This window comes from Homo sapiens, chromosome 13, assembly GCF_000001405.40.
Source record: "Homo sapiens chromosome 13, GRCh38.p14 Primary Assembly".
NCBI classification, from domain to species: domain Eukaryota; kingdom Metazoa; phylum Chordata; class Mammalia; order Primates; family Hominidae; genus Homo; species Homo sapiens.
The window spans coordinates 78,831,464-78,840,698 of NC_000013.11; the positions used below are offsets into that span (position 1 = coordinate 78,831,464).

The 9,235-nt window shown below is 38.4% G+C and overlaps 1 long non-coding RNA gene across 1 annotated transcript in view; it reads right to left on the reverse strand.

Annotated features, from left to right (window-relative positions):
• Window positions 1-8,587, reverse strand: part of LINC00331 (long intergenic non-protein coding RNA 331) — a 52,732-nt gene extending 44,145 nt beyond the window's left edge. The window contains exon 1 of the long non-coding RNA NR_046869.2: window positions 8,477-8,587. This is a non-coding gene — a long non-coding RNA (long intergenic non-protein coding RNA 331). The remainder of the gene's footprint in view (window positions 1-8,476) is intronic.
• Window positions 8,588-9,235: the final 648 nt, after the last annotated feature.

Below are 9,235 nucleotides of genomic sequence, written 5' to 3' on the forward strand. Positions count from 1 at the left end.
TATGAACAACTGCGCCCAGCCCAGTCAATGTCTTTAAAATGGGACAGATATAAACATGTCTGGGGTGTTTGAGGCGAGGCATTGTTGTAAGGTAGAGGCATGGGCTCGATTACATTTCAGATCCTCTATGGTCTCTAACTTTATAATTTGAAGTATTTTCATAGTAATATTTTACAGATAATATGATGACAAACAAGGTCTATACAGACAAATGGGTAGAAATTCAATGAATACAGAAACTTTCCAGTAGGATCCATTTGGGAATTTGCATTCTGTAAGTTGCAGGGACAAAAATTAATTTTAGCTTCCATGTCTCTGCTTCATTAACTTGATCATGGGCAAAATGAGATTTCTGATTTTCACCTACAAAATGGCATAGAAGCTAGTGGTTAATTGTATGTCCTATTATCAAATTTACAAGCAGGTGTATTCAATAAGCAAATGGATGACTTTTTTTCTAAGTTTGCTTCTGACAGTCTGGAAAAAGAGTCATTTTATGGATTTCTTTTTGTTTTCTGGAATTTTTTATATGACATAGAGTTTAAAATAGTGCCATACTAAAACCTAAAGTGTAGTAGATAGAGAACTTGATCTGCAAAAATAGAAGCAACAGTAGCAGACAGGTTGATTTTAAAATTTCTGTCTTAGAAAAATATTTATAAATTTTAAATAGTGAATCTCTCCAAGTCATTGTGAAATGTGCATTTTTACTTTAATATCATTTAATGTGTTCAGTTTTCAACTGGGGAGCCATTTAAACATATACACATTATTTAATTTCAAAACCATTTATTTGCATATTTTGATGGTGGTGTATAACAGTCAATCAAATGTTATCTATTTTGTAAACATTCCTCATGCCTCATTTGGAAAACTATTCAGATATATGTCTAGGTGAGATGTGTAGTCATTGGATTTTATAAATCATGTTTCTAACTCCAAGTTGTGGCAGAAGCACATGCATGTCTTCAAGGCCTGTGGCTGATCGTTGTTGAATGAGACCCTGACTGATGAGACACATCTTTAAGAGAATTCCAGGGACCTCCAACCAAACTCTGAAGGCATGTGGTTTTTATGCAGCCACCAGCCTCTTTAGAACTTGGCTTCCAGCTGGGTTCCTGTGTAAGATAAAAATCCTGGCGCAGCATCTCCCCTCTTAAGTTTCTGGCAGGTGTGTGCTAGATCCAGCCTACTAAATACTGCGTAATTAGAACGCCTTGGGCAATCACTGTCATCCTACATCTGTAAGGCAGTGAGGGCAGTGTTAGCATGACTGTGCTCATTTCTTTAACATCCCATGCTTATAGACCCAAACACAGCTGCCTGAAGGGCCTGTGTTTGATGCATGAACTATAGGAGGACCTCAGAAATGAGTCTAATTATATCAGTATCTGAATGCTTTGCGGAGGCAAGATGCATTATTCATAAGACTGCACCTCTGTATAAGGAAAAAATAGTCCATCATATGTACTGCCACTTTTTAAGCAGCACTGGTCAATTTTTATGTTTATTATGTTTATTATCTGCCTTCCGAACACTGGACTGTCAGTTGCTAGAAGGCAAAGAAATTTTTTCTGTTTCAGTTAGTGATGGAGCCATAACTACTAGAACAAAGCCTGGTACGAAGTTGGGGATCAAGGAATAAATAAATGAATATTAGCTTTTAATATTTACCATGAAATTAGGTTGGTTATAGACAAACCATGTGTGTCTAAACTATTCTATCCAATGTAATCAAGTGAGGGAAGCATCTTCCTCCTAAACTTTGTATTGAATATATTATTATCAGGTAGCCAAACGTCACCAAGAAAGTGAAGAGAAAAAGGCAATATACTGTTTGTGGAAACTGTTGATCTGAAGAGCTCCAAATTCCTGAAAAAGAGCTGAATTTGAAGATGCCCAGCCTGGAGTATGTGTATATTTTTAGTGATTACTGCATTAAAAGAATAATAATGAAATAAAATTATATCAATATGATGTCACTTCATAATGACTTAATTGCTAACCTCAGCCTGTAATTATTTTCATAGTTAACATTGCCATGTCATATCTACAGTGTTATCTATCTTTTTTAATATATGCATTAAATAGAATTTTGGTTTTTAACTTTGTTTTATGCCCCTTTGTAGAGAAAAAGCTTTATTACTGCAACTAAGAATAAGAACGTAAAATGTCCATAAATTTCTAAAAGAATAGTGTGTGCATTACTATTTTAACATAATTTTGGATTAAACCTATTGTTATTAGCATTTCAGACTATTTGGTGTGTATGCAAATAGTCATTTTTCTGAATAAAATACCTATAAAAGTAAAAATCTCTTTCTTACAAATATATTCATAGTCCCATAACCATGAATAATATATATTTGTTCATTGTTTCACTTCAGATTCCTCTCTTGCTGTCAGACAATGAACAAATATATATTGCTTATCATATTATCCCTCAGTTTTATCTTTCATTTCCTCTGGTCCTTACCTCATTCACTTACTTCCTTATGAGTGTGATTAAAAACACACACACCATCTTTAAAGGCTCAGAAGACATAGGAATTATCTGAAATACCAAAGAGACCTTAAAGTCCAGCCAGGCCAGCTATTTTAATTTAAAGAAGCTAAAGGCCAGAGAAATGAGGGGCCAAAGGTTGTGCAGTTACTTCATGATAAGATGGGCCTGAGGTGTCGCGGTATTTTGGCAAAGGCTAATTTCCTTTGCTTTTCCTTGGTGACCCCTTGGCATTTAGCTGAGAATATGAGGGGAGCTGAATTAATACTGGCTGGTTTACATTGAGCTGAGTTAGAATACATTCCTTTGCATTTTATATGGAATTTAAAATAGTCAACCTGTTTCTTATTAGCAGTCTGAAAAACATCTTTAAAGACCATGCATGGATGTGGTATTAAGCATAGATACAGCATGATTAAGGAATGTGAATATTTATTGCTAGACAAACTGCTGAAGTATAGATATCAGGGCATTTTCCCAGTTAATTATTGATGGTCAGGAGCAATCACAGGAGACAGAGAATGAACATCAGAGGGGGATAAAAGGATTGGAAAAATTACAAATGGTCACCATAGAACTCTCAAGCAAGCAGAACTTTATACAAAAAGAGATTAACAATTTGAATGAAGTTGGTGGGAACCGTTTTGGCATTTACTCTTCACAATTTATATAAGTGGGTTTTGACATGTTTGCTTCTTAACTCTATTCCTTTAGACATCCTTCCAGTCTGTTCCAGCAATGCTGTAGTTTTACAATTTTATTTTTTGGGACTCTCAAGCTAGAAGTCTACATTTTAAACTCTTTTTAAATTGAGTAATTATTTTCATTATATATATATATATATAATTTCAAGTTTTATAAAGCAATGAAGGATTTGGAGGTTGGTCTGGTGCTGTTTATACTTCTTTATAAAAATATATAGGTGATAAAAACTTTACTATTTAAGCTTTACACACAGGCAAATGCAGGTCAGAAATGCTTTGCATAAAGAGGTCTTTCCTAACTTCAGTCGCATCTGTGTGGTGAGGACTGATTGACTGAGGGAAAGAGAATAGCTCCCCTAGCTCATCGGAATCCCCAGAGACATCTCAGCTTGCATCTAGGAGGTCAAAACTCCTTGATGGTCCGATTGTGACTTGACACAGGAGGCTGATGAAGAAAGAGCAAGGTGATCCCCTGAGGGTCTGGGACACAGCTCAGGACATTTTTTCTAACTTACAAAAAAACAAGAAAATGTCACTTGATTTGCTTTGAATCTGACTCTGTGCCAAGAAATCAAGGTGAAATTTGACAAACTTTTTATGTATAAACATCTCAGAATTATTTTCTAGTAGCTTTATTTTCTAATTTGAACAGAAGTTCTAATACGGCATTTGACAGCAGTTGCTTTGAAATAGAATTTAGGAAGTAGAAATTTTGGTAGAATTTATTCTTTTAACAAATCTTTTCTGGATTCATTTACTATAACAAGTAATAAAGAGATAGAGAGATGAATGAGATAACACCCTTATAGAGATTTCACTGTAGTGCTGTATGTAGTGTTTTAGAACACAGTTGGTATTGTAAGGTAAGAAAAATAGAACTGATTATTATTGGTGCTAAAATGTCTTCAGTGATAATGAGATAAATTTTCCTGTAACATTTTAAACTAAACCATGAAAGAGAACACAATACTTGGAATATTGTGTACACTTATTCCTCCCTTTCATTTCTTCGTGCCTTGCCTTTCTTCCCTGCTTGCTTGTAGCTCTAGCTTTTAAGCCACCTTTAATTCCTTCTACTTTGTACTCTTGGGAGGGCCTGCACTTTGAAAATACTTGACATTCAGGAAAATACACTTTATATGTTAAAAATCAATGGTGACACAATATTTACAGCCCAAAGGCCAAACATTTGGAGTTTCTTTATAGAGAGTAAGTGCTCAGAGACCAGCTTTGTGCTACTAAGCTGTAGACATCAAAGAATAATACAGCAGTTTTCAACTTGATGGCCCGAATGGGCTTTAGCCCAGTGAAGTGAAGTATTGAGCTATTTCACAGATCTGTAATAGAGAGCCAGTGTGGGAATCCTTATTTTATCTTAATTACTAAGGAGCCCTTTATGTCTCAGAAGTCCCCATGTTTTGTTTCAAAACTTCTATCTGGAGAATGAGTTTATAGACTTGTGTCTACAAAAGAATGACAATACTTTGAATTAGGTTTTAAGAAGATTCAAAGTGCAGCCAGAAGGGGAATTCTTTTGCTAGTCCCTGCTACATTGCAGCGTTTCAAAGAAAGCTTATGGTAGGTCTATGATTTAGCAGAAAGAAAAGAAAATGTATTCGTTGGCAACTCCCATGCCACCTAGCAAGTTTAATTTTCTTGGGTTAAGCACACACACAGATGAGTACATGTGCACACACACACACCCCAAAGCATTTATTAGCTCATTAGAAGCTGTATTATGTGTCTGGGTGAGGAGTATTATTTGTTGTGTACATTTGACCCTTCATTGTTATTAGTTGCTCTTTAGCAGAAAGCCTCTCTTTCAGCAGAAAGAGTGAGGATGGCAATAACTATTACTAAGCTAATAATAATTACAAGGACCAAACATGATTATTGATGGCTCTTCCATCTTTCATATGTGTGTGCTCTGGGTAATACTGATATGCTACTTCTGTTATTGGGCATGAACTTTCTGTGACCTATCATTTATCATCAGATGAAGTTCAGCCCAGCCTAATAGTTACATTACGTAACAAGAGCTTTCTGGTGGTGAAAGAAATCCACTTAAACCACTGATGTGCTAGGGTTTCATACGGATTGTGGAGTGTTCATTCTCTTTACTTGTAAAAGAGACTTAGAGGGGGCTATCTGAGTATTCACCTTGGAGAAAACTGTTGATGAAGCCAGATAGCGCTGATAAAGGATGGCTTTGGGAATCACTCCAAGCCTGCAAAACCTGGAGCATTTAGGAAACAGGAACCCCTCAAAGTGTCAGGAATATAACGATCAGAGAAAGGATCTAGAGATTTTCTAGTACATTTGCCCCTCATTTTTTGGATGATGAGGCTGACAGTCTCAAGGTCACACATCTTTGTCATGCCTTTTTCACCAAACTACATTGTCTCTCAGGGAGGACAGGAAGGACATGACCTATGATCAGTGTCTCTGGGACATCTAGGATACAAGTGCCTCTAAGATCACTGCCAAGCCAAGAAGTATGTTTTTTAGGTCCTTCCCTGAAATTATAGTAGAGAGTACATTAGTAAGGAAGCAGCTGGCTCTGGGGTAAGGTGGGACTGACTGCTTCCTTGGCATTCAGATCATATAGTAATAGCATATGGGGGTCTTGGATTGGCCTCACAAAGAATCCATCAGCGGCTATGTCCCACTCTTCTATGGAGATGGATGGTACACCTAGTGTGCTAGTGTGTTTGGGTGAATGCACTGTCACCAGAAGACCAATGGAAACTATTGAAACTACACATATATGAAGATGGCTTTTTTGGGTGGCTGTAACCATCATGGACAAGTCTTTGTGTTGTTTCCCTGAATGCTGGTGTTAGGTTGTGTTCTGAACCTTAGGAAGTTCTTTTATTCCAGCAGGCTTTGAACGTCTAGGTCCCTGAAGTCCAGAGGCCAGAAGCACTTGCCAATGGGTAATTATGCCCCCTTGCTGTGCACAAGTAAGAAAGTAGCAAGCAATTCAGAGGCTGCAGTGCAGAAGGCAAGGCATCTGCATCCCTGAGGTCCATCTTAAGGAGTCTCCTGAAGGCATTCCCGGGCAATCTGGAAGGTTGGGAGAGGGGTGCTGAGGATCTAGCCACTGGTAGTAAGACTTCCTAGCTAGAAAACTATTTATTTGCTAGCGCTGGCATAACAAACTGAGTGGCTTAAACAACAGAAATAATCTATTTATTTATTTTTAAATTACAGGTAATAATTGCATATATTTGTGGGGCACAATGTGATGTTTTGATATGTGTTTACATTGTGTATCACTACAGCTGACTAACATCCGTCACCCCACATACTTATCTTTTTTTGTGTGTGAGGTAGAAACATTTAAAATCTACTTTTTCAGCAATTTTGAAATTTATAATACATTAGTTTTTTTAAACTTTTTAAAAATTGTACTTTAAGTTCTGGGATACATGTGCAGAACGTGCAGGTTTGTTACATAGGTATACACGTGCCGTGGTGGTTTGCTGTACCCATAAACCTGTCATCTACATTAGGTATTTCTCCTAATGCTATCCCTTCCCTTGTCCCCCACCCCCGACAGGTCCCGGTGTGTGATGTTCCCCTTCCTGTGTCCATGTGTTCTCATTGTTCAACTCCCACTTATGAGTGAGAACATGCAGTATTTGGCTTTCTGTTCCTGTGTTAGTTGCTGAGAATGATGGCTTGCAGCTTTATCCATGTCCTTGTAAAGGACATGAACTCATCCTTTTTTTTTTTTAATTATTATACTTTAAGTTCCAGGGTACATGTGCACAACGTGCAGTTTTGTTACATAGGTATATATGTGCCATGTTGGTTTGTTGCACCCATTAACTCGTCATTTACATTAGGTGTTTTTCCTGATGCTCTCCCTCCTCCAGCCCCCCACCCCACAACCGGCCCAGGTGTGTGATGTTCCCCTTCCTGTGTCCATGAGTTCTCATTGTTCAACTCCCACCTATGAGTGAGAACATGCGGTGTTTGGTTTTCTGTCCTTGTGATAGTTTGCTTAGAATGGAACCCATCCTTTTTTATGGCTGTGTAGCATTCCATGTTGTATATGTGCCACATTTTCTTTATCCAGTCTATCACTGATGGGCATTTGGGTTGGTTCCAAGTCATTGCTATTGTGAACAGTGCAGCAATAAACATACATGTGCATGTGTCTTTATAGTAGAATGATTTATAATCCTTTGGGTATATCCCCAGTAATGGAATTGCTGGGTCAAATGGTCAAATGGTATTTCTGGTTCTAGATCCTTGAGGAATATTATGGGCACCATGATGTGTAATAGATCTTTAAAATTTATTCCTCCTAACTGAATCTTTGTATTCTTTGAACTACATCTTCCCATCCCCTTCCATCCCACAGCCTCTGGTAACCACAGTTCTATTTTCTACTTCTAAGAGGTTGACTTTTTTAGATCCTACATATAAGTAAGATCATGCAGTATTTCTATTTGTATGCCTGACTTATTTGTCTTAGCATAATATCCTTTGAGTTCATCCATAAAACAACAGAAACTTATCGTCTCACAGTTCTGCAGGCTAGAAGTCTGAGATTAAAGTATCAGGGGGTTTGCTTCCTTCTGTGAAGGAAGGATCTGTCCCAGGCCTCTCTCCTTGGTGTGAAGACAACTGTCTCCTCCCGTGACTTTTCCTAACGCCTTCCCTCTATGTGTGCGCCAATATTTTCCCATTTTTCTAAGGACTAGCCATTTGAGATTAGGGTCTCCCACTTCCAATGGCCTAATTTTAACTTGGTTACTTCTCTGAAGACCCTATATCCAAATAAGTTTACATTCTAAGTTACTGGGAGTTAGAATTTCAAAATATGTGGGGAGGAGGGATGCAATTCAATCCATAACAGGAACCTTGCCCTGGTATCTCTGAGGTTCATTTCTATGACTGATGGTCAGAGGCTGTGTTTGGATTCCAGAGATTTTCTTGAATGTGTGTGCATGTGTGTGTGTGACTGCATGTCTGTGCACATGTGTGCATGTGTGTGTGTGCACGTGGACATGCACTAGCTGACCTCTTCCTTAGGGTGGGGTTCCTGGTCAGTCTGTATTCTTCCACAGCTTTCACCCATCTGAAAGCAAATCAGTTTCCTTTTTCAAAATGGAAAAATATCTCTTTCTCCGTGTCCTTTTAAACCCCCCTCCCCACGCTCCTTTTCCTTCTTACTGTGTGCCTTAGGCCATTCAGGCTACTATAACAAAATACTATAAACTGTGTAACTCATACACAACAGAAATGTATTTCTTACAGTTCTGGAGGCTAGAAAGGCCAAGATCAGGAAGCCAGCAGATTCCAAGTCTGGTGAGGGCCTCCTTCCTAGCTTATAGATGCTGCCTTCTTGCTGTGTCCACACATGGTAGAAGGGGCTACCTCCCTGGGGTCCCTTTTATAAGGGCACTAATCCCATTTGTGACCTAATCACTTCCTCAAAGCCCCCCTCGCAATACCATTACTTTGGGGATTATGACTTCAACATAGGAATTTGGGGGGACACAAATGTTCAGACCACAGCATCATCTCTTTTCTCTGACTTCCCTCACTTGCTTTTATTTATTTATTTATTTATTTATTTATTTATTTATTTATTGATACAGTCTCGCTCTATCTCCCAGGCTGGAGTACAGTGGCACGATCTTAGCTTACTGCTACCTCCACCTCCCGGGTTCAAGCAATTCTCATGCTTCAGGGTACTGAGTAGCAGGGACTACAGGCGTGTGCCACCACGCCCGGCTAATTTTTGCAATATTAGTAGAGGCGGGGTTTCACCATGTTGGCCAGGCTGGTCTCAAACTCCTGACCTCTGATGATCTGCCCGTCTCAGCCTCCCAAAGTGCTGGGATTGCAGGCGTAAGCCACCACACCCAGCCCCCTTACTTATTTTCTAATATATCCACATTGTGCTGTTTGTGTTTTGATTCTTTCACTGTCCCTCATATTCCTTCTTTCATCATCATAATTAATTTTTAAATGTTTTGTTTCTTCATTTACTAACATTACATTCCTATTG